The 26551-nt window shown below is 44.6% G+C and overlaps 3 annotated features.

The window, feature by feature from the left end:
* Positions 1 to 117: part of a biological region, named in NCBI's record as "MS32 minisatellite repeat instability region", that runs on past the window's edge.
* Positions 1 to 117: part of a meiotic recombination region, noted in NCBI's record as "meiotic double-strand break mapped by DNA meiotic recombinase 1 chromatin immunoprecipitation followed by single-stranded DNA enrichment and sequencing in the germ cells of some male individuals with the PRDM9 A/A and PRDM9 A/C genotypes", that runs on past the window's edge. NCBI's record gives the evidence for it as "EXISTENCE:chromatin immunoprecipitation-seq evidence [ECO:0000229][PMID:25395542]".
* Positions 14479 to 14980: an enhancer, noted in NCBI's record as "H3K4me1 hESC enhancer chr1:236244555-236245056 (GRCh37/hg19 assembly coordinates)". NCBI's record gives its function as "activates a minimal SCP1, AML or CMV promoter by ChIP-STARR-seq in naive H9 embryonic stem cells {active_cell/tissue: H9 hESC(naive)}" and the evidence as "EXISTENCE:reporter gene assay evidence [ECO:0000049][PMID:30033119]".

Here is a 26551-nt window from a genome sequence, read left to right as displayed (position 1 = left end):
ACAAGCCACTGGCCCACAGGCCGTAGCTTGGTGACCTCTGTTCTAGAAGAAAACATGTAGAAAATCTTTGCGAGGTTGGGTTAGGCAAAGATTTCTCAGAAGTGAGTTTTAATTGTATTTGAGATTTGTTTTAATTGGGTATGGTAAGACATGCAGATATGAAAATAATTGGTATAAAGGAAAAGGTTTTTGTTATACTCAGTCCCTAGAGACAGGAGGCATGGCACTCCATGCAGGGCCACAGGGAGAAGTACTCAGGTAAGACAGCAGGCTGGGGTGATGGGACCTGGGGGCAGGAGCCTTTATCATGGTTTTCATGGGAAGAAATAGATGATGCAATATAAGCAGGCTAGTCAGGGTTAGTATTGGGCAGTTTGAACAATTTGGTGGCTCTGGGTCACAGGGACTGTCCCTAGTTGTCTGGTACCAGGTTCTGGGGTGACTAGGGCAGGTAGATAGTGGCCCAGAGTGTGGGAACCCACTAAGGGAAGTGGCTGGGGGTGTGAGCTCTGGATTGATTGGTTTGCATATGGAAGGCATGCTTGCAGGCATGTCCTTTGCTATCTCTGGGAATTAGCTTACCCCGCCTGGGAGGGGCAGCCCCTCTTGGCTCAGCAAGGTCTCAGATGTCAGAGCATCAACAATATCAAAAATAAGAAAATGTAGTTAATACAAATGACTCTAAAAGCACAATTCATAAAAAGCAATCAATAAATGGGTCATCATCAAAATTTAAAACTTTTGCTCTTCAAAGTACACTGTTGGCTGGGCACAGTGGCTCATGCCTGTAATTCCAGCACTTTGGGAGGCTGAGGCAGGAGGATCATTTGAGCCCAGGAGTTCGAGCCAGCCTGGGCAGTATAGCAAGACCCCAATCTCTACAGAAAAAAAATAGCTGGGCAAGATAGCATGTGCCTGTAGTTCTAGCTCCTTGGGAGGCTGAGGTGGGAGGATGGCTTGAGCCCAGGAATTTGAGGCTGCTGTGAGCTATGATCATGCCACTGCACTCCAGCCTGCCTGGGCAACAGGGTGAGACCTTGTTTCAAAATAAAAGTACACTGTTAAGAAAAGAAAAAAGCAAGCCATAGAATGGGAGAAAATATTTGCAAAATATGTATCTGTTAAAGGAGTTGCACTCTGAATACATGAAGAACTATTACAACTCGGTAATAAGAAGCCAAACAAACTAATTTTAAAAAATTTAAAACACTTTAAGTGTTGGGGAGGAGGTGAAATATTTGAATAGACATTTCACCAAAGAAAATATACAAATGGCTAAGGAAATCAACATCATTCATCATTAAGAAAATACAAATCATGGCCGGGCATGGTGGCTCACACCTATAATCCCAGCACTTTGGGAAGCTGAGGCAGGCAGATCACCTGAGGTCAGGAGTTCGAGATCAGCCTGGCCAAAATGGAGAAACCCCGTCTCTGCCAAAAATTAGCTGGGCATGGTGGTACGCACCTGTAATCCCAGCTACTTGGCAGGATGAGACAAGAGAATTGTTTGAACCCGGGAGGCGGAGGTTGCAGTGAGCCAAGATAGTGCCACTGCACTCCAGCCTGGGTGACACACAGCGAGACTTCGTCTCAAAAAAAGAAAAAAGAAAGAAAGGAAAAAGAAAATCAGGTTGCATGCAGTGGCTCATGCCTGTAATCCTAGCACTTTGAGAGACCAAGGTGGGAGGAAAGCTTGAGTCCAGGAGTTCAAGACTAGCCTGGGCAACATAATGAGACCTTGTCTCTACTAAAACAAACAAACAAACAAAAATCAAAGAAATTAGCTGGGCATGGTGGTGTGCACACATCTGTAGTCCCAACTGCATGGTACGCTGAGGTGGGAGGATAGCTTGAGCCCAGGAGGCTTAGGCATCAGTGAGCTGTGATCACACCACTGCACTCTAGACTGGGAGACAGAAAAAGACCCTGTCTCAAAAAAAAAAAAAAAAAAAAAAAGAGAGAAAAAAGAAAAAGAAAATGCAATTTGAAATCACAATGAAATATGTCTACATATCCACTAAAATGGCGAAAATGAAAAAGACTGATCATGTTGGCAAGGATGTGGAGCCACTGGAACTCCCATAGATAGCTGTTGGGAATGCACAATGATATACTCACTTTGGAAAACAGTTTGGCAATTTCTCATATATTTCAATATACACCACCTATATAGCCCAGCCATCCTACACCTAAATGTTTACCCAAGAGAAATGAAAACATGTATTCACATAAACTTGTACAGGAACATTCATAGCAGCTTTATTTGTGATAGGTAAAAACTGGAAATAACCCAAATGTCCATCAACTTGTGAATGAAACAAGTCATAAAATGCTCATCAGCAAATAAAAACAAGAATGAAGTACACATACACGTAACAACATGGGTGAATCTGTCAGACACAGAAGATCACATACTGTAAGACTCCATTCATATGAAATTCTAGAAACAAAATGATAGCCACAGAAAGTGGATCCGCGGCTGGCAGGGCTGGGATGGAAAAAAGGGATTGGCTGTAAATGAGGGATCTTTTAGGGGTGATGAAAATGTTTCATATCATGATTCTAGTGCTGGCTACAAAGCTGTCCACATTTGTTAAAATGTAGCAAATTACATACTAAAGTTTGGCAAATTTTATTGTATGTAAATTGTACCTCCATAAAGCTGATTTAAGAAAAGAATGAAGGCTGGGCATGGTGGCTCATGCCTGTAATCCCAGCACTTTGGGAGGCCAAGGCGGGTGGATCATCTGAGGTCAAGAGTTTGAGACCAGCCTGGTCAAAATGGTGAAACCCCGTCTCTACTAAAAATACAAAAAATTAGCTGGGCATGGTGGCTCAGCCTGTAGTCCCAGCTACTCGGGAGGCTGAGGCAGGAGAATCGCTTGAATCCAGGAGGCGGAGGTTGCAATGACCCGAGTTGGCACCATTGCACTCCAGAATGGGCAACAGAACAAGACTTCGTCTCAAAAAAAAAAAAAAAAAGAACGAAAAGGAAAGCCTTATCAGCTCTGTGAACTGGACAGATCATGTAACTGTTCCATGTCTGTATTTCCACACTTATAAGGATAATAATACCTAGCTCTCAACAAGTGTCAAGTTTCTGTCGCCTTTCCTTTTTTTTTTTCCAGGATGTTAGTCTGAGTCAGCTATAAATCAAGATTGTCATTGATGGGTGGGGATTGGTGACCTCTCCCCCGAGGTCTTCAGATGGGAATCATGTCTCTAAAGGGGCGATCTCTAGATGTGAAGACTCACATATGTGTCAAAATGTTAAATGTGCAAACTCTTTCTGCTTCTGTAAGCCTATGTGATAGAAAGGCTGGCAAAAAAAAATGTGCAAAAAATATGTAGAAGGATGTACATTGCTGCTTTGGCTGGGCACGGTGGCTCATGCTTGTAATCCCAGCACTTTGGGAGGCCGAGGTGGGCAGATCACCTGAGGTCAGGAGTTCAAGACCAGCCTAGCCAATATGGTAAAACCCTGTCTCTACCAAAAATGCAAAAATTAGCCAGGTGTGGTGGTGTGCACCTGTAGTCCCAGCTACTCAGGAGGCTGAGGCAGGAGAATCACTTGAACCCAGGAGATGGAGGTTGCAGTGAGCTGAGATCATGCCACTGTGCTCCAGCCTGGGCAACAGAATGAGACTCTGATTCAAAAAAAAAAAAAAAGTACATTGCTGCTTTGTTTGTAATAGCAAAACTTGGAGACAACCTCAGTGTCCATCCATCAGTAAGACTTGGCTAAGTGAATTAAGAGATTTCCATTTCCTGGCCAGGCACAGTGGCTCACGCCTGTAATCCCAACACTTTGGGAGGCTGAGGCGGGTGGATCATCTGAGGTCAGGAGTTCGAGATCAGCCTGGCCAACATGGCAACCCCCTGTCTCTATTAAAAATACGAAAATTAGCCGGGCGTGGTGGCACATGCCTGTAATCCCAGCTACTAGAGAGGCTGAGGCTGGAGAATTGCTTGCACCCCATAGGCGGATGTTGAGTGAGCCAAGATTGTACCACTGCACTCCAGCCTGGGTGACAGAGTTAGACTCCATCTCGAAAAAAAAAAAAAAAAAGAGAGATTTCCATTTCCTGGAATACAAGAGAGCTGATGGATGACATAAACCAGATCTGTGTACAGGAACTTAGGGAACGGCACCCAATACACTGCTCGATGAGAAACCCATATGTACAGCAGCACATACAAAATAATCCCACTAAAGAAAAAGAGTGTGTGGCAGAGACCGCCAGCTATTCCCCAGTATCCTTTCTTTCATTTAGTAGAAGAAATCTGGCCCCTCCAGCCCCATTTTAAGTGGTTGGCTTGGGTGGGTGTCAAGGCTCTAGGGCAGTGTGGCTGAATCCTACATGTAGGCGAGCAGTCGTCACCTCCCTTTTAGCCAGCTTTGGCAAAAGGTCTAAATTCTGGCCACAAGATGTGAGCGGAAGTGACATATGCAATGAAGGGGTCATATCCTTCAAAAGGAAGCTAGTTGTTGTTCACTTCCTCTCTCCCCTTTCTGCAGTGACACCCTGGAGATAATGCTTTGATGTAGACAAGGGCCCCGTGCTACAGGACGAATCTTCATGCAACAGAGCAACTGCCTGCCTTGTCCCACTCCTCTAACGGCTTCTAGAAAGAGAAATTAACTTTTATCTTGTTTGAGTTACTAGTCTGGGGACTGTTAACAGCTGCAAATCCCATATAGTAAGTAATACAATGTACTTTATAGTATTACCTTTGCTAATAATGATAGTTTACCGACATCTAGTGCTCATTATGTGCCAAGCACTGTTCTAGGCACTTTACATAAATAACTTGTTTAGCCAGGTGCGGTGGCTCACGCCTGTAATCCCAGCACTTTGGGAGGCCGAGGCAGGTGGATCACAAGGTCAGGAGATCGAGACCATCCTGGCTAACATGGTGAAACCCCGTCTCTACTAAAGACACAAAAAAATTAGCCGGGCATGGTGGCGGGCACCTGCAGTCCCAGCTACTCTGGAGGCTGAGGCAGGAGAATTGCTTGAACCTGGGAGGCGGAGGTTGCAGTGAGCTAAGATCACGCCACTGCACTCCAGCCTGGGCGACAGAGTGAGGCTCCGTCTCAAAAACAAAAACAAAAACAAAAAATGCTTCGCAGATGGGCCACACTAGCCAGTGGATGTCATGTTGCCCAAACAACCAGTTGAACACGTCTCATATTTCATCATTTGTTTTGTAATAATATATCTTCAGTGTAAACCCAGAAAGAGGGAAAAAAACCCTCAGCCAACCACTCCTCTCTTGAGAGGGTCTCAGGGACACAGCCTCTCTTAAATTTGTAAATATTTAGCACTCTAGTTCCTGGAAGAAGATAAGTACTTGTCTCTGCTAAACCTTCCTGTGGATGACAGCTCCATGGAGTATGTGTTCTGAGCCAAAACATACCATATTTGGTCCGAAATGAGTGGATTGCCGATCATTGTAGTTTCAGATCTTTTAACTGGAATGAAGGACATTTGGTCCATACAGTTAACATCCACAAGAATACAGGGACTCAGGGGTTTCTGCCCACTTCTGAACCTGCAAAGCTTCATGGTTGAGAAGGAAGACATGTGCATGACACGGGACTGTATTCCAGCCCTGAGCCCGCGTGGTTTTTTTTTTGGTTTTGGTGGGGTTTTTTTGTTTGTTTTGTTTTGTTTTTTGAGACGGAATCTCTGTCGACCAGGCTGGAGTTCAATGGTGCAATCTCAGTTCCCTGCAACCTCTGCCTCCCAGGTTCAAGCAATTCTCCTGCCTCAGCCTCCTGAGTAGCTGGGATTACAGGTGACTGCTACCATGCCTGGCTAATTGTGAGCTGGCATGTTTTAAGTGTAAAGGGGCAAAGGGTGCTTTGCACTTCAGCTAGACTACTTCAAGAAAATAAGATCTGAGCCAGGTGCAGTGGCTCATGCCTGTAATCCCAGCACTTTGGGAGGCTGAGGCAGGTGGATCACCTGAGGTCAGGAGTTCTAGGCCAGCCTGGCCAACATGGTGAAACCTCGTCTCTACTAAAAATACAAAAATTAGCCGGACGTGGTGGCAGGTGCCTGTAATCCCAGCTACTCAGGAGGCTGAGGCATAAGAATTGCTTGAACCTGGGAGGCGGAGGTTGCAGTGAGCCAAGATTGTGTCACTGCACTGCACTCCAGCCTGGGCGACAGAGCAAGACTCTGTCTCAGAAAATAATAATAATAATAATAATAATAATAATAATAAATAACATCTGATCTGAACAAGTTTTAAGTTAAACAAATTAAAAGAAAAGCCCACCCACAATACAATTATTCCCTTTTTTTTTTAAAGATGTGTTAGTACAAGTGTTATAATCATTGTTTTACTCATTTTTTTTTTTAAGATATGGTCACACTGTGTCACCCAGGCTGGAGTGCAGTGGTGCGACCAAGACTCACTGCAGCCTCGAATTCCCAGGCTTAGGAGATCCTCCCATCTCAGCCTCCCGAAATGATCTTTGTTTTAAACACATCTCTACAGAATTTATCTTTCAGGACCTGTCTGAACACTGAGATGAATGACTTGGTCCCCCCTGAAGTACTTGATGTGAACTGCACAGGGAAATTGTTTTGTTATCACTTGGCTCATGTATGAGTCATTTTCAAGAAGTAAACTTTGCTTTGAACAGGGTGGTTTCTGCTCAACAACAGTTCAGTTTGGTAAGCATTTCTTTTTTTTTTTTTTTTTTTGAGTTGGAGTTTCACTCTTGTCGCCCAGGCTGGAGTGCCAGTGGTGCGATCTCGGCTCACTGCAACCTCTGCCTCCTGGATTCAAGAGATTCTCCTGCCTCAGCCTCCTGAGTAGCTGGGATTACAGGCGCCGCCACCACGCCTGGCTAATGTCTTTGTATTTTTCGTAGAGATGGGGTTTCATCATGTTAGCCAGACTGGTCTCGAACTCCTGACCTTAGGAGATCCACCTGCCTCAGCCTCACAAAGTGCTGGGGTTACAGGCATGAGCCACCACGCCTGGCCTGGTAAGCATTTAATGAGCATCTACTATGTGCTTACTTTTGTGGGGGGACCTACAGTAAACAAGGAACTGGAGAAAGAATCAGATATTTTAAAATCAACACAATGACAAAGATAGAAAAGTGATACCCCCAACACTTTGGGAGGCCGAGGTGGGCAGATCACAAGGTCGGGAGATGGAGACCATCCTGGCTAACACGGTGAAACCCCGTCTCTACTAAAAATACAAAAACAAAATTAGCCGGGTGTGGTGGCGGGCGCCTGTAGTCCCAGCTACTCGGGAGGCTGAGGCAGGAGAATGGCGTGAACCCGGGAGGCGGAGCTTGCAGTGAGTGGAGATTGCGCCACTGCATTCCATCCTGGGCGACAGAGCGAAACTCCATCTCAAAAAAAAAAAAAAAAAAAAAAAGCCATACCATTTGCATCCCCCGGGTTTTCTGAGGGGCAGTGGCGTGGTGCACAAAGCTCAGGGCAGAAGCAGGGCTTCAGGACTCCATGATGGAAGCCCACTCCCCTCCAGCCACGGCCCGAGCAGCCAGGAGAGATGTTCGTTTGCCTGTTCCCAGCCCACCCTGAGTTCCCACCCAGGCTCTGGATGCCAGGACTCTAGACTCACTGCGTTCCACACTCTAGCTTCTGTGGTTACTATTGGCAATGGCGCACCAGGAGCACTGGGATTCCGGGCTGTGCACCAGGGTCTAGGTTGCAAAGACGCCTGAAACCAGAGGGGGAAAACAGAGAACAGTTCATCAAAATGATTAAAATTGCAAGGGATGGGGGGAAGGGAAAGTGATACCATGTCTATGGTCTGAATGTGTCCCCCCAAATCCATATGATGAAAATGTAATCCCCAATGCAATAATGTGGGGAAGTGGTTCCTAGCCGAGGTGTTTAAGCCATGAGGGCTCTGCCCTCATGAATGGATTAATGCCAACATAAAAAGGGCTTGTGGCCAGGTGTGGTGGCTCATGCCTGTAATCCTAGTACTCTGGGAGGCTGAGGCAGGTGGATCACTTGAGGCCAGGAGTTTGAGACACGCTTGGCCAACATGGCCAAACCCTGTCTCTACTAAAAGTACAAAAATTAGCCAGGCATGGTGGTGGGCACCTGTAATCCCAGCTAATCTGGAGGCTGAGGCAGGAGAATCACTTGCAGCGAGAGGCAGAGATGGCAGTAAGCTGAGATCATGCCACTGGACTCCAGCCTGGGCAATACAGTGAGACTCTGCTAAGAAAAAAAAAAAAAAAAAAAAGGAGGGGGGTGTTTGTGGGAGTGGGCTTTCTCTCTTCTGCTCTTCCACCATGTGAGGACAAAGCGTTCATCCTCTCTTGCCCTTCCACCTTCTGCCATGTGAGGACACAGCAAGAAGCCCCACACCAGATGCTGATGCCTTGACCTTGGACTTCCCAGCCTCCAGAATGGTGAAAAATACATTTCTGTTGTTTATACATTACCCAGTCTCGGGTATTCTGTTGTAGCAACACAAAACAGACTAAGACGCCATTCTAAGGCATGAGTGAGCAATTCTGTCTTCTTAGGTGCAGAAGAAAAACGAAACTCGACAGAGAAGGTAATAACTAAGCAGAGTTTTAAGAGTTGAGTAGGAGATTACATAAAGGCTAAGAGGAGGAGAAGGGCATCCAGGCAGAAGGGACTGACTGGGACAAGGAGGCACGAGACAACACAAGGCTCAGGAACCTGTGAGTGGGGCAGGAGTGTGAGGTGGGGAGTGAGGGGCTGGCAAGGGTCCCTCTCACCCCATTGGGAGCCCAGGATTGCTCCATGGGCCAGGGGCCCCTTGTAAGCACAGCCCTGGGGCCAGCTGTTGTCTATGACTTCCCTCTGCCCGGAACAGCTGTTGTCTATGACAAAGTTTTCATGAGTCTGTGGCAAAATTGTTAAAGATTACATATATTATAATTACATATTATTATATAACATAATTACATATACATATAATCATACATTACATCTATAATTATATAGATGTATATAATTTATCTAAAGCAAATTTTTCATAGAGTGAACCATATTCAATTAAAAGGACTGTCTTTGATTCTGACACTGTGCTATTCCTGTATTTTGATGTTTAAACATCTGGTCATTAATCAAATGATGGTGACAATAAAAAGCTGGGCATTCTGTCAGTGCCTTCAGTTTCCATTTAAACTTTCACAGGCCCAGGGAGTCCAAAATTCTGGGATTCACTGAAATAGGATAACTGATCAGATTTCATTTCCAGAAACTCCCTCAATGGTGGTATGGAGGTCGGGCGGGGATGGGCAGACTGGAGACAGCTGAGGACCATGACACGAATGAATAGGGGCCCAGCTCCCTACGTCCCTTTCTGTTTGTATTTCAGCATAGAAATCATCCTCTTATGCCTGAATTCAGGCAAGCTGAGGCACAGCCAGCCTGGAAACGGCACCTGGGATGCTCTCAAACAGAGAGGAGCCCCCCATGTCCTCTTCCTGTTGATCCATGTTGATTGGCAGGGGATGATGACGTCTTTCCTTTTTCAAGAAATTGTTAATTTTCCTTCCTCCAGTACTTCCGGTCCTGAAAAACAACCACCAAAAGCACCCAACCCTCTCCCACTTGGTTCTTTTAAAGCCAGAACCTTTAATTTTGAATTAGAAAACCTTCATTTTCCCCCGCTCTTATTTCAAATCAGAGAGGTTGCGTGAATGATCCAATGGAGCTTTAAACTCTTCCTGAAAACTGAGACCCCACTGCTTGGTTTGTATTCCCACCTCTGGCTTTTCTGCATGGGCCAGGAGCACTGATAGGCCTAGGTTAAGTCATGGTACAGACCTGAGAGAATCAGATAGAATGATCTTAACAGCAGCTGATATCAGATTCTTTCTTAAGAGGGAGGAGCAAGATGGAATCAGGCTTGGAAATGGGAGAGTTCAGAGACCAGGTGATGCCAGGAATATGCCCTTCCAATCGTCATTCCCCTGCCCACTCCCCAAACACCAAGTAAACACACACACACACACAAACCATGTTGCCAGGAATATGCCCTTCCAATAGCCACCCCCTCCCCACTCCCCAAACACCAAGTAAACACACACACACACACACACACACACAAATCATGCACACCACAAGCACACACCACACATGCACACAGGCACAACACACATACATACACCATTCATATGTACATATACATATTTACCTATCTATACCACACTTGTGCACATCATTCACATACATATACACATATACATGTACATGTACCACTTACACTCACATACACATTCACATACATACGCCCTACACACACATACACCACACACCCAGACACCTCACACATGCACATACACACCACACATATAGACACACCGTATACACATTCATGCAGCACACACATACACCACACACATGCACCCTCCACATGTACATACAGCACACATATGCACACACCAGACACGTGTACACATATGCACCACACACACACTTATGCTCACATGCACACACGTCACATACACACACCACATACATACACACACACACTGACCTCGCCTACTACTCCCCTGTGACTCTGGCTCTAGCCTCCCTGCCCCCAACATACCAGCTTTGCTCCTGCCCCAGGGCCTTTGCACTGACTTCCCTCTGCCTGGAACACTCTTCCCCTGCGTAGCTTCATGGCTCATTCCTTAACTTCCTTTTAGACTTTGCTTAGTTGCCACCTTCTCAGTGAGGTTTTCTCTGATCCCTTTATTTAAAATTTCACATTTCCTGCCTCTCCCCACATTCCCAACCCCCTACAACTCTCTATTTTCCCCAGAGCACTCAGCTTTTCTTATAGATCATAAAATTTACTTACTATATTTATTTTCTGTTAACGCTCAAGCATTGGAAAGGTGGAGAATCAGCATGTGCCCTGCAAGGGAGGCTTGTGCCATCAGCTATGAGAGGTTGATTGTTTTTGGTTTTGTTTTATTATTATTATTATTATTATTATTATTATTATTATTATTATTATTATTAGAGATGGGGTCTTGCTCTGTTGCCCAGGATAGAGTGCAGTGGTGTGATCACAGCTCACTGCAGCCTCAAACTCCTGGGCTTGAGTATCCTCCTGCCTCAGCCTCCTAAGTCACTGGGACTACAGGCACATGCCACTGTCCCTGATAAATAATTGTTCTATTTTTTTTGTAGAGCAGGGTCTGACTTGTTGCCCAGGCTGGAGTGCAGTGCATGATCATGGCTCACTGCAGCCTCGGATGCCTGGGCTCGAGCATCCTCCCACCTCAGCCTCCTGAGACACTGGGGTTACAGGCCCATGCCACCATGCCTGCCTTGCTGATTTTTTTTATTTTTATTTTTTTGTAGAGATGGAGTCTCGCTTTGTTGCCCAGGCTGGCCTTGAACTCCTGGCTTCAAATGATCCTCCCACCTCAGCTTCCCAAAGTGCTGGGATTACAAGCGTGAGCCATGGCACCTGGCCACATTGTTTCCTATACTTGTAGAAGGGACTCCCTTTCTGTGATTTGTCCTGTGAAGGTGTTAAGCTTGGTCCTTTACTATGATCCTTGTCTCAGGGAATAAGAGTCCAGAAGTCAGTAGCTCAGGCGGTGAGGACAGCTCCGTGCTGTCCTTGAGGATCCCTGCAGATCACTGCAGCACCCTCCCCAAGTGTGCCTCATGGTTCAAGTTGGCTGCTGGAGTTCCAGTGACCACATCTGCATCCCAGGCAGCAGATGAAGAAAAGAAGGAGGATTTCCCAGAAGTCCCTCACTAGGTAAATACAGAGGATACTGCCGGTGCATCTTTTAACAAACTGTTCATGTCACAGCATCTGATGGTTTTCAAATTTGTTGGCATGGTTTCTACACCAGATCTTTTCCCACTTGGCCATTCAGCCATTATTAGTAGGACATGCGACAAGGTGCTGTACAAGTTTCTTCCCAGCATTAGAACAAAGAGTGGGTGCAAAGGTCCTTCCTTTATCTGTTTGCATTGTCTGGGTTTACATTTTGTTTATCCTCATACCTTTGTTCCTGCATAAGGAATGGCTAGTTTGTAATCAGAATTAAATGGGCTATATCCAGGAAATCGCATTGTGACGGGAATTGTCCTGCCAGGAACCAGGATAGAAAGCCCGATGCTGACCTCCAGCAGATCTTCAGCTTCGATCAAAGATTCTCTATCTAGGGTGCTTATCAGATTTTCTTTCAAGTTTCAACCTGCCTTTCCCTCCTCACCCCTCCTTAGAGCCTGACACATGCCCAGGCTTATCAGAATTTGCAAAAAGTAATTCTGATTCACCATTCTCCCCTCCCTCCTCCTCCCTGTCTCCTCACGGTTCAGTCTACTCTGCTGAGAATGACTGCTCTGGAAGAAAGCACATCCCTCGCCCTGATAGAGTTTTCTGAAAGCTGAAGAGGCTGCCTGGCCAGGAGGAGACGTCAGCATTATCTCAAATGTAAGTATCTCCAACTCTGGGTGCAGGAACCTCTTCAGACAAAGACAGAAAGTTCACTGTGGATTTGAGTCACTGTTTCACAGCTCTGCAATGGAAAGAACTCTGTATGTGAAGAGCTGGCATTGCCTCTTGCTGACTGAGTGTCCTTGAACAAGGCAATTACTCTGATTCTCAGTGTCCTCATTTGTAAAATGAGAGATAAAGATACTCCTGCAGATTACACGAGATTGTAGAGATACATTGTACAATAAAGAGTTTGCAGACTAGATGAGGCATTGTTACAACCATTGGTATAATAGGGTGAAGGCAAAGGAAGGATTAATTGTACGGGGTGGGGGCGGTGCAGGTTGGGGAAAGATTTTTGCAGGAGGGGGTTTGGAGCTGGACCCGTAGGAAGGTGGAAAGGCATGCCTATTATATCTCTGGTGTTGGTGGTGATTTGCTCATGTCCTACCTCTCTGGACTCCCCTTGCCCACATTCCCAACAATAGCAATACAATCGAAGGCCATCAAAATGTTCACAGCCTTTCACCCAGCAATCCCACTTTGGGAAAGAGGATTTGAGGAAGGAAGTCCTACAGAGAAAGAGCAATACTCACTGCTGATGCTTTTTAAAAATAGCCAAAAAATGTTTGGGTGTGGTGGCTCACACCTATAATCCCAGCACTTTGGGAGGCCACGGCGGGTGGATCACCTGAGGTCAGGAGTTCGAGACCAGCCTGGCCAACATGGTGAAACCTTGTCTTTACTAAAAATACAAAAAAATTAGTTGGGCATGGTGGCGGGTGCCTGTAATCACAGCTACTCAGGAGGCTGAGGCAGGAGAATCGCTTGAACCCGGGAAGTGGAGGTTGCAGTGAGCCAAGATCGCACCACTGCACACCAGCCTGGGCAACAAGAGTGAAACTCTGTCTCAAAAAATAATAACAATAAAATGTAAAATAAATAGAATAAATAAATAAAAATAGCCAAAAAAACTGGAAACAACCTAAATGTTAGCAGTAGAGAAATGGTTAGATTAAGTGTGCTCCAATAAATGGAATGTAAACAAAATATTAAGCGTGAAACTGTGTTGCAACATAGTTTGGAGGTTATTACAGTACCAGGCTAATGGAAAGACCAAGTGAAGAAACAGTGATGTCTATATATTGTAATAGCAACCCTGTCTAGAATATTTGCATATTATAATTGATTAGAATATTAAAAAGAAAAAAAGCGGTATCGGGGTAATAGTCTTATGTTGGTTCAAAAATTTCCAAACAGGGGCCAGTGCGGTGATTCATTCCTGTAATCCCAGCACTTTGGGAGGCTGAGGCAGGCAGATCATCTGAGGTCAGGAGTTTGAGACCAGCCTGGCCAACATGGGGAAACCCTGTCTCTACTAAAAATACAAAAATTAGCTGGGTGTGGTGGCGGGCACCTGTAATCCCAGCTACTTGGGAGACCGAAGCAGGAGAATCGTTTGAACCCAGGAGGTGGAGATTGCGGTGAGCCGAGATCGTGCCATTGCCCTCAAGCCTCGGTGACAGAGCCAGACTCCGTCTCAGAAAAAAAAAAAAAGAAGATTGCATACTAGTCTTAGCTATGCCATGTATTAGCTGTGAGACCTTGGGAGACTATTGAAATACCCCCAGCCTCGGTTTCCTTACTGGTATAGTGGAGTCTGTGGTAGGTAGCCCACAGGGCCACTGTGGTGATCAGATGAGATAGTCTATGCATCACACACTGTAAATGGCATAGATGTAACGGTCCCCCTCGCCTGCAGGGCAGTGAGTCAGCCAGTCCCAAAACCTCTTCCCTGTTCTCAGACCTATGAAGGATAAAGGGGAAGGAGCAGGCCAGGAGGCAGGGAGATCCTTCAGCCTTGGGGAAGGAGAAAAGGGCAGGAAGATTGGTGGGAGGACCCACAGCCTGCAACGTGGATCTAGGAAAGATTGGGCTGGGCCATTGAGGCCTGCTTAGCAGATCACCCAAGAGAGGAGCAGGCATCCTACAGGAATGGGCTTGCCCCAGCACCCTCACCGGGCTCAGGGACGTGGGGCCTCAGCGTGATGCAGCGGTGGCCCCAGAGGCCAGCATCTGGGGCTGTTTGTCAGGCATGCTTTGTGCCTTAGAGCTGAATGGAGTACACTTAGGGCCACCATGTTCTCCTCTTCCTTACGCGTCACCTCCTCAGTTCCCCAACCTTTCTGAGTCTGTCCCTGTCATGTATTGGAGTCTTCAACTTTCTCCTGCATGCTTCCATTTTTCATGTCATTTCTTCTCTAATTTCTCCCAAATCATGCTGACAGAGTATTCATCGCAGAGTACAACTCTCCTTATGCCACCAAACACTCATTGGCTTCTCATTGCCTAAGAATCCAGCCTGTCTCTCCAAGCTAGTGTGACGGGCTGGAGCCAGGCCTGCTCTTCCAGCCTCCTCTATGTCTTAGCCCAGTTGTCCCTGTCTGCGGACCTACATCGTACATTGGGGCTGCTCACGTAATTATTTATTTAATCGTGAAAAACACAGGAAGCTGCTTCTGGTTGTGTGGTGAGAAATTACATTCAGGACCTGAATTTTGTGTCCAGGGGCCATGGATGGCTTTTGCTACCCATAGGAGTTTCAGAAAATGAGATTAGGGTAGAAGCAGCTTGCTAAGACCCCACTCCAGATTTTCTGAGACCTACACACTTCCCTGGACAGGCAGAACACCAACTGTCTTCCCACAAGGCACATGGGAGATTTAGGAAGTCAGGCCCACAGAATATTCCTCAGCCAGCTGCTTCTAGAAAGGTCTCTTTTGTGCTTATTTTGGTCACCTCTAACTTGCATATGATTTCTGTGTCAAAACCCTCACACTGGGCGCAGTGACTCACATCTGTAATCCCAGCACTTTGGGAGGCTGAGGCAGGGGGATGGTTTGAGGCCAGGAGTTTGAGACCAGCCTGGGCAATGTAGCAAGACTCCATCCCCACCTTAAACTCCTCTGGATGTTCAGTGCTCTGTTGAATCTGCCCCAAATGAACCTGCACAACCTGACTTCCTCGTTTCCACGTGTGGCCTTCCAGTTACCCTGCTTTCTAGGGCATCCCCTGGCTCAGCATTTGCTGTCAGAAGGTAACTTTTGCCGCCTAAATGGATGACGGTGTGTGGTTTTTAGTGTGCAAGAAGCCAAGGGCTCCTGAGAGCAAGTGGCGGCTCAGGAGATGTGCAGCAAGTGATGCTTTGAGAAGGGCCTGGCGGGGGCATCCCTGGCTTTCTGCAGGGAGGCAAAGCTAGTCCCACCATGAAGTGGCCAGCAGCCCTCAGTCCCTGTGGCCTAGATGCCAGTCTTCTCAAGGATGGCACTGGAAGACCTCTTTCCTTCTTATTTATTTATTTTTGAGACAGGGTCTCACTCTGTCACCCAGGCTGGAGTGCAGTGGCATGATGTCGGCTCGCAGCCTCAACTTCCAGGTCACAATTGATCCTCTCACTCCAGCCTCCTGAGTAGCTGGGACCACAGGAGTGCGCCACCATGCCCAGCTAATTTTTGTATTTTTGGTAGAGACGGGGTTTCGCTATATTGCCCAGGCTGGTCTTGAACTCCTGAGCTCAAGCGATCTGCCTGCTTCAGCCTCACCAAAGTGCTGGGATTACAGGCGTGAGCAACCACACCTGGCCAGTACTGGCAGATCACTTTCTTCCTAACTTAAATGATGCCAGGGAGAAACAGGTGGGCCTAATGAAAACTGATGATTACTGTGGCTGTGCTGATATCTATTACTGAAATGTGATAGGTTCTGGGGATTGCAACAGGCGTTCCTAAAAATCACTGCAGCAATAAAACCACAGGGCTTACCAGGAAAACCAGGTTAGGAGTAGAATACTCGAAAACTTCATTAGTGACGTTAACAACCTTGGAACCTAATAAAAATGGCAGCACAGTTTCATACATGTTCCATGGTTAAGAAATGCATATAAAATACAACAATGACAGCACATCAGCTCGCAAAAGACCTGAAGTTCCCATGCAGGGTGTTCACCTACACTCTTGCCCACTCACCGGCTGGCTCCCAGGCCCACCACCTGTGTAAAAGAGGAAGAGAGCAAAAGATAGAGAGAAAAAAGGGGAGGAAAAGAAAGAGAACAGAGAGGAAATACGTAAAGTAGGCTGAGAAGGAAGAAGGGAAAATTAAAGAGAAGGCGAGTTTAGGACCACACAGCCCAGCGGCCTTTGGAAAGGTGGCTACTTGTGAGTTACTGTGAAGGGGTGGAAGGAGCAGCACCTGAAATTCGGTGTGGAAAGTTGGGACCCCAGGTGGGGGTGGGGGTGGCTCATTGTCCTGGCCAGGGTGGCCCATGTGTCGCTTTGTGCACCCCAATGCAGCTCAGTTCACCCGGGTGCAGTATTCTGTGTTTGTTCATCCAGTGTTTTTCAAAGACAAAATCTCACATGAGAAAGTGCGACATTCACATTATGCAATTTATTCCCTGATAAAGGCACATCTTGTTTTTTTAAGATTCACTTTATAGCACTGCACAGATACAGTGTATTTTACAAACTGAAGGCTTATGATGTCCCTGCATTGAGCAAGTCTATTGTTGCCATTTTTCCAACAGTGTGCGCACACTTCATGTTTCTGTGTCAGCATTTTTTGACAATGAAGTATTTTTGGTATGTACATAGTTATTTCAGACATAATGCTATTGCACTTAATAGACTACAGTATAGTATAAACATGACTCTTTTTTTCTTTTGTAAAGATAGGGTCCTACTTTGTTGCCCAGGCTGGTCTCAAACTCCTGGCCTCAAGCTAGCCTCTCACCTTGATCCCCACAAAGTGCTGGGATTACGGGTGTGACCCACCAGGCCCAGCTAAATATAACTTTTTTTTTCTTTTCTTTTTTTTTTTTTTTGAGACAGGGTCTTGCTCTATCACCCAGGCTGGAGTGCAGTGGCTCAATCTCACTACAACCTCCTCCTCTCAGGTTCAAGTGATTCTCCTGCCTCAGCTTCCCAAGTAGCTGGGACTACAGGCGTGCGCCACCACACCAGGCTAATTTTTGTATTTTTAGTAGAGACCGGGTTTGGCCTGTTGGCCAGGCTGGTTTTGAACTTCTGACCTCAGGTGATCCACCCGCCTTGGCCTCCCAAAGTGTTGGGATTACAAGCTTGAGCCACCACGCCCAGCCTAAACATAACTTTAAAAAAAAATGTTTATTTTAGGTTCAGGAGTACATGTGCAGGTTTGTTATATAGGTAAACTCGTGTCATGGGGGGTTGTTGTACAGATTATTTCATCACTTATGTACTTAGCCCAGTATCCAATAGTTATTTTTTCTGCTCCTCTCCCTCCTCCCACCCTCCACCCTCAGGTAGGCCCCTGTGTCTGTTATTCCCCTCTTTGTGTCCATGAGTTCTCATCATTTAGCTCCTACTTATAAATGAGAACATGCAGTATTTGGTTTTCTGTTCCTGTGTTAGTTTGCTAAGGATAATAGTCTCCAGCTCCATCTATGTTCCTGCAAAAGACATGATCTTGTTCTTTTTTATGGCTGTATAGTATTCCTTGGTGTATATGTACCATATTTTCTTTATCCTATCTGTCATTGATGGGCATTTAGGTTGATTCCATGACTTTGCTATTGCGAATCATGCTGCTATGAACGTTCACGTGCATGTGTCTTTATGGTAGGATGGTTTATATTCCCCTGGGTATATACCCAGTAATGGGATTGCTGGGTTGAACGGTAGTTCTGCTTTTAGCTCTTTGAGGAATCGCCATACTGCTTTCCACAATGGTTGAACTAATTTAGATTCCCACCAACGGAGTATAAATGTTCCCTTTTCTCTTCAACCTTGCCAGCATCTGTTATTTTTTGACTTTAATGATGGCCATTCTGACGGGTGTGAGATGGTATCTCATTGTGGCTTTGATTTCCATTTCTGTAATGATCAGTGATGTTGAGATTTTTTCTTTATGATCGTTGGCCACATGTATGTCTTTTTTTTTTTTTTTTTTTTTTTTGAGATGGAGTCTCACTTTGTCACCCAGGCTAGAGTGCAGTGGTGGGATCTCGGCTCACTGCAAGCTCTGCCTCCCGGGTTCATGCCATTCTCCTGCCTCAGCCTCCAGAGTAGCTGGGACTACAGGCACCCGCCACCACGCCCGGCTAATTTTTTTGTATTTTTAGTAGAGACGGGGTTTCACTGTGTTAGCCAGGATAGTCTCGATCTCCTGACCTCGTGATCCACCCGCCTTGGCCTCCCAAAGTGCTGGGATTACAGGCATGAGCCACCGCGCCTGGCCTTCTTTTTTTTTTTTTTTTTTTTTTTGAGACAGAGTTTCACACTTGTTGCCCAGACTGGAGAGCAATGACACGATCTTGGTTCACTGCAATCTCCGCCTCCTGGGTTCAGGCAATTCTCCTGCCTCAGCCTCCCAAATAGCTGGGATTACAGGCATGCACCACCATGCCTGGCTAATTTTTGTATTTTTAATAGAGACGGGTTTCTCCATGTTGGTCAGGCTGATCTTGAACTCCCGACCTCAGGTGATCCACCCACCTTGGCCTCTCAAAGTGCTGGGATTACAGGCATGAGCCACCGCGCCCGGCCCATATGTCTTCTTTTGAAAAGTGTCTTTTCATGTTCTTTGCCCACTTTTTAATGGGGTAGTTTGTTTTTGTCTTATAAATGTGTGTGTGTGTGTGTGTGTGTGTGTTTTGAAATGGGCTCTCACTCTGTCCCCCAGGCTTGAATGTAGTGGCACAATCATGGCTCACTGCAACCTCTGCCTCTCAGGTTCAAGCGATTCTCTTGCCTCAGCCTCCTGAGTAGCTGGGATTACAGGTGCATGCCATTGCACCTGGCTAATTTTCGTATTTTTAGTAGAGACAGGGTTTCTCCATGTTACCCAGGCTGGTCTTGAACTCCTCACCTCAGGTGATCTGCCCACCTCAGCTTCCCAAAGTGCTGAAATTACAGGCATGAGCCACCGTGCCCAGCCTGTCTTGTAAATTTGTTTAAGTTCCTTATAGATGCTGGATATTAGACTTTTGTCAGATGTGTAGTTTGCCAATATTTTCTCCCATTCTGTAGGTTGTCTGTTTAGTCTGTTGATAGTTTCTTTTGCTGTGCAGAAGCTCTTAAGTTTAATTAGATCCCATTTGTCAATTTTTGCTTTTGTTGTGATTGCTTTTGCTATCTTTGTCATTAAATCTTTGCTTGCTCCTATGTCCAGGATGGTATTACTTAGGTTTTCTTCCAGAGATTTTACAGCTAAACATAACTTTGATATGCACTGGGAAACCAAAACATTTGTGTAATTTCACTTGATTGCTATATTTGCTTTATTGCACTGGTCTGGAACTGAGTCTGCAATATCTCTGAGGTATGCCTGTATGTCATCCAGGTGGAACAAATCTGCATTTTTAGAACAAGCAGTAGATTATAGGTTACTGTACTTAAGTTCAATGAGAAGACAATAGCATTTTGCGATTTTTCTTTCTACCTTTCCAATGATAATATCTCATTTAGTCTTGCACTGGAATTCTTTCTTGGCTGTCTTTTGCTAGGTTTGTACTATCTTCAATGTTTTCCATAACCAAAGGCAGCAATTTAACTAACTCATGAAAATACGTATTCTGTAAATTTGGCTGATTCTTTCTGCTTTTGCTATTGCCCATTGAACTATTTTCAGATGCTGTCCAAAGTCCTTACTATGGCCTGTGGGGCCAAGGGGTCTATCTCTCACTTACCCTGCTCCACCCACCTGGCTCTCTTGCCAACCTTTGGCAGCTCACTCGTGCTCAAGAACTTTGCACCTGTGGTCCCCAGGACCAAATGCGGCCTCAGCTGTTCCCTTAACCTACCCAGTCGGTTCACTCCCTCACTTCTTAGGACTCTGCCCCAAAGGTATTGAAGAGATTATAGAGAACTTTCCTGATATACCAAAATAAAATTGCACCTCTCACACCCAACCACATCACTCTATAATGTAAGCTTTTTTTATTTTTTTTTTTTTTGAGACAGAGTCTTACTATGTCAGCCAGGCTGGAGTGCGATAGTGTGATCTCGGCTTACTGCAACCTCCGCCTCCCGGGTTCAAGCGATTCTACTGTCTCAGCCTTCAAGTAGCTGGGATTACAGGTGCCCACCACCACGCCTGGCTAATTTTTGCATTTTTTAGTAGAGACTGGGTTTCGCCATGTTGGCCAGGCTGATCTCGAACTCCTGACCTCAGGTGATCTGCCCGCCTTGGCCTCCCAAAGTGCTGGGATTACAGGCGTGAGCCACCGTGCCCAGCCTCCACTCTGTAAGTTCTTACGTGAATTAATTTTTTTCTATGGCACTTTTCTTTATCTCCATCTGACACATTATATAATTGCTTATTCATTCCTTTAGTGTCTGTCTTTCCCCATAAGAATGTAATCTTCAAGAGAACAGTGACCATATTTTGTTCTTAGGTGTGCCTTTAATGTCTAGCACTGTGCCAGGTACATAGTGAGGTCTCAATAAATATTAATTGATGAATAAATGGTCAGTATGGGTTATTAAGACTGATCCAATTAACCTATGGGAGTGCATTGTTAGAATAAGACAATTAACAACAGGTACTGAGAAGCCATAAATATATGCTTTTAAGATTAACCTCCTGGCTGGGCAAGGTGGCTCACACCTGTAACCCCAGCACTTTGGGAGGCCGAGGTGGGAGGATCACCCTGAGGTGAGGAGTTCAAGACCAGCCTGACCAATATGGAGAAACCTGTCTCTACTAAAAATACAAAATTAGCTGAGGGTGGTGGCGCATGTCTGTAATCCCCGCTATTTGGGAGGCTGAGGCAGGAGAATCGCTTGAACCTGGGAGTTCAACCGCGGAACTTGAACCGTGGAGGTTGTGGTGAGCTGAGATTGCGCCATTGCACTTCAGCCTGGCAGCAAGAGCGAAATTCCATCTCAAAACAAACAAACAAAAAGATTAACCTCCTAATACCTTCTTGTAATATTGTCCTGGGATATAGCATAGTTATAAAAATGCTGTTTCAAAAATGATTTTGGAGAGAAAATATTTAGGAGAAAATGGATATCAACTTAAAATTTGATATCAACAGAATTAAAAATTCCATTATTCCAAAATGGAATTAAATAATATGTAGATGCTTTAAAACTCTAAGAATATGAAAGATAATGCCTTTGTTGGTAATAATAGTAATAATTTTGGAATTTAAGGAAATATTACTAAGTAAATTTACTTTTTAAAAGAGTCACGTAAAGAAACCTGGCAGATATCACTCGAATCAATCAATCAACATTAACTGCAGCAGTAACGGGACACAGTGGCATCATGGATCTCCTGATGAGATGCGCTGAGAAGGACACCCCGTGAGTTTTGTAGCATTCCTGCCAGATTGCATAACCCTGATCTAATTATAAGAGAACAATTAGACACACCTGAATTGAGAAATCCACAGAACAACTGGCCTGTTTTAACAAATGTCAATAACATGAACAAGAAAGAAAGGCCAAGAAACTATTCCAATTTAACCAAGAATAAAGAGACAGGACAGGCCAGGTGCAGCGGCTCACGCCTGTAATCCCAGCACTTTGGGAGGCTGAGGCGGGCAGATCACATGGTCAGGAGTTCGAGACCATCCTGGCCAACATGGCGAAACCCCATTTCTACTAAAAATACAAAAATTAGCCAGGCATGGTGGTGCACACCTGTAATCCCAGCTACTTGGGAGGCTGAGGCAGGAGAATCCCTTGAACCTGGGAGGTGGACATGGCAGTGAGCTAAGATCACACCATTGCACTCCAGCCTGGGAGACAGAGCAAGATTCCGTCTCAAAAAAGGAAAAAAGAAAGGAAGGAAGGAAAAAGAAAGAAAGAAAGAAAGAAAAAAAGAAAGAAAGAAAGAAAGAAAGAAAATCACAAAATGCAATGCATGATCTTGGGTTAGAGGATCATTTTTTAAAAATATAACTAAAAAGGTTATTGGAACAACTGGTAAAATTTGAATACAGATTGTATATTTAGACAATAGAATTGTGTTTGCTACGTACGATTAGTACACTGTGGTTATAAAGAGAGTCTTTGTTCTTAGGAGGCCTATGTACAAGTATTTAGGCATGAAGGGTCATGATATCTGCAACTGACTCAAATGATTATGCAAATAACAATAAGAACATACAGAGAGGTTCAAAGAGGTAAAGCAAATATGGCAAAATGTTAACAATTGGTGCATTTGGTTTTCATTTGATTTTTGAGACAGAGTCTCACTCTCATGCCCAGGCTAAAGTGCAGTAGCACAGTCAGAGCTCACTGCAGCCTCAAACTCCTGAGCCCAAGTGATCTCCTGCCTCAGCCTCCCAAGTAGCTGGGACTCAAGGCACATGCCACCACCCGTGGCTAATTAAAGCAAATTTTTTTTTGTTTTTTTTGTAGAGACGGGTACCACTATGTTATTCAAGCTGGCCTTGAACTCCTGACCTCAAGTGATCCTCCTGTCTCTGCCTCCCAAAATGCTGGGAGTATAGGCCTGAACCTCTATGTCCAGTAATTGGTGCATTTGGATGTATTTTTTTTTTTCACCAAATTTTCTGAGGGTTTGAAATCAATTCTTTCTTTTCTTTCTTTCTTTCTTTCTTTTCTTTCTTTCTTTTTCTTTCCTTTCTTTTTTTTTTCTTTCTTTCTTTCTTTTTTTTTTTTTTGACAGAGTCTTGCTGTGTCACCTAGGCTGGAGTGCAGTGGCGCAATCTTGGCTCACTGCAACCTCCGCCTCCCGGGTTCAAGCGATTCTCCTGCCTCAGCCTCCCAAGTAGCTGGGACTACAGGTGCCTGCCAACATGCCTGGCTAATTTTTTTTGTATTTTTTGTAGGGGCGGGATTTCACTACATTGGCCAGGCTGGTCTTGAACTCCTGACCTTGTGATCCGCCCACCTCGGCCTCCCAAAATGCAGGGATTACAGGTGTGAGCCACCGTGCACCACACCTTTTTTTTTTTTTTTTTTTTTTGAGATGGAGTCTTACTCTGTTGCCCAGGCTGTGGTGCAGTGGCACGATCTCGGTTCACTGCAACCTCCGCCTCCTGGGTTCAAGTGATCCTCCTGCCTCAGTCTCCCAAGTAGCTGGGATTACAGATGCATGCCACCACGCCTGACTAATGTTCGTATTTAAGTAAAGACGGGGTTTTGCCATGTTGGCCAGCCTGGTCTCGAACTCCTGACCTCAGGTGATCCGTCCTCCTCGGCCTCCCAAAGTGCTGGGATTACAGGCATCAGCCACCGTGCCAGCCTGAAATTTTTCAAATTGAAAACTTTAAAAATGACCACCACTGCCAAAAACACCAAACAACCTGATTGAAAATGAACAAAGACGTGAATAGACATATCTCCAAACAAGATGTATGAATGGCCAATAAGCCCTTGAAAAGATGCTCAATATCCCCAATCATTAGAGAGATGCAAATCAAAACCACAATAAGATATCACCTCATACCCATTAGATGGCTACTATTAAAAAATATAAAATAGTAAGTGTTGTCAAAGTACGTAGAGAAACTAGAATGCTTGTACACTGGTGGTGGGAATGTAAAATGGTACAGCTGCCACGGAAAACAGTATGGCAGTTCCTCAAAAAATTAAAAATAGAATTACCGCATGATCTAGCAATTTCCCTTCTGGGTATACACCCAAAAGAATTGTGAACAGGGTCTTGAAGAAATATTTGTCCATACATGTTTAAAGCGGCATTATTCACAATAGCCAAACATGAAAGCAACACATATGTCCACACACAGATTAACGGATAAGCAAAATGAGGCACTACATACATACAATTATTTATTTATTTTTTCTTTTTTGAGACAGGATCTCACTCTGTTACCCAGGCTGGAGTGCAGTGGCATGATCACAGCTCACTGCAGCCTTGACCTTCCAGGCTCAAGCGATCCTCCCACCTCATCCTCCCCAGTAGCTGAGACTACAGGTGCACACCACCATGCCTGGCTAATTTTTGTATTTTGTAAATTTTGTATTTTTGTATTTTTTGTAGAGATGGGGTTTCACCATGTTGCCCAGGCTGGTCTCAAACTCCTAGGCTCCACCTGCCTTGGCCTGCCAAAATGCTGAGATTACAGATGTGAGCCACAACACCCAGCCTATGCAATGAAATATTATTCAACCTAAAAAAGGGAGGAAATTCTGACACATGCTACAATATGGATGAACCTTGAGGACATTATGCAAAGTGAAATAAGCCAGTCACAAAAAGACAAATAGTGTCTTATTCCATTAATATAACATCTAGAGTAGTTAAATTCTTAGAGATGGAAAGTGGAATGGTGGTCGCCAGAGGCTGAGGGAGGGAGGGATGGGAAGTATTGTTTAATGGGTACAGAGTTTCAGTTTTGTGAGATGAAAAGAGTTCTAGAGATGGATGATGGTGATGGTTGCAAAACAGTATGAATGTACTACCATTTGATACATTGAATGTAATACGATTGAACTCTACACTTAAAAATGGTTAAGATGGGAGATATTATGTATGTGTAGTTTACCAAATAAAATTCTTTTTCAGTAACTGAAGAGAGAAAAATATTTGCAACCATTACAATAACAATTGATTCTAGTAAGAGTCATTAATGGGGTTAAAATTAGAGGGTAAAAGTTTAATGAAAGAGAATATTTATGTAGTTTCCAATTATCTGTTTCCAATATATTTATTAATTAGAAAAGAAAACCTAGTAATTTTACAGTGGAGAAATTAGGAGGTATAAATGTACCAGGTGATCAAAGTAAACACTATCAGCATTAGGACAAATGGACATGTTCCTCCTGATATGTTGCACTAGGAAGGACACAATATCACTTCTCTGTTACTGCTGCCAAAATTTATGCAAAATCTGATCTAATTATGAAGGAAACACCAGACAAACCCAAACTGAGGGACAGCCTACAAAATAACTGGTCTGTCCTCTTAAAAAATGTCAAGGGCCAGGCTCAATGGCTTGTCCCTGTAGTCCAGCTACTAGAGAGGCTATGGTGAGAGGATCATTTGAGTCCAGGAGTTTGAGGCTATAGCATGCTGTGATCACATCTGTGAATAGCCACTGCACTCCAGCCTCGGCATAGCTAGATCTCATCTCTAAAAAAAAAGTTAAGGTCATGAAAGATCAGGAATGACTGAGGAACTCTTTCAAGTTGAAGAAGACTGAAAGTGCATGACAACTGAATGCAGTTTGTAATCTGGTATTTTCTTTTGCTATTAAAAGACATTATATTGACATCTGGTGAACTCTGAATAAGAGCTGTCAATTAGATTATAGTATGATATCAATGTTAATTTCCTTATTTTGGCAATTGTGTTATGGCTAGGTGAGAGAATGTTCTAGTTTTAAAGAAGCATATACTTAAGCATTCAGAGGTAAAGAGGTATCATGTTTGCAACTTACCCTCAATGGTCCAGATAAAAATTTATGTATATATATATGTATCGATGTGTCTGTGTGTGTGTGCATGCATGTGTGAGTGTGTGGAGAGAGAGACAGACAGAGAGAGAGAAAGACAGAGAGAAAGCAAACATGGCAAAATGTTAATATTAAGGAAAATCTGAGTATATGGGATATGGGAATATAAGGGTATATGGAATCGTTTTGTATTATTTTTGCAATTTTTATGTAAGGTTGAAAATTACATAAATCAAGATTAAAAATTAAAATAACAACAAAAGGCAAGTGGAACCCCAGCAGTGAATGCTGGAGGTCTGATGATAATGAACCAGGAAAACGTTCATGGGAAAACAGGATGTAGAACTATAGGAATTAAACTTTACCCTGAAAAGCTTGGCATCTTCCCAAACATAGGTGGACATAATTGTGTTTTCCCAAGGTACTTTTTATCCTAATCGCCTTTGAAAACAGAATAAAGTGAACACCAAATCCTGCTTCACTCTCATCCTTTGTCAGAGTGTTTTTTTGTTTTGTTTTGTTTTGTTTTGTTTTTTGAGACAGAGTCTCGCTCTGTCGCCCAGGTTGGAGTTCAGTGGCGCGATCTAGGCTCACTGCAAGCTCCGCCTCCCGGGTTCATGCCATTCTCCTGCCTCAGCCTCCCGAGTAGCTGGGACTACAGGCGCCCGCCACCAC

The sequence above is a fragment of the Homo sapiens genome, chromosome 1 (assembly GCF_000001405.40).
Source record: "Homo sapiens chromosome 1, GRCh38.p14 Primary Assembly".
NCBI lineage: Eukaryota > Metazoa > Chordata > Mammalia > Primates > Hominidae > Homo > Homo sapiens.
Note: the sequence above shows the minus strand (reverse complement) of the source record. Positions and strands in the feature narration are given on the sequence as shown.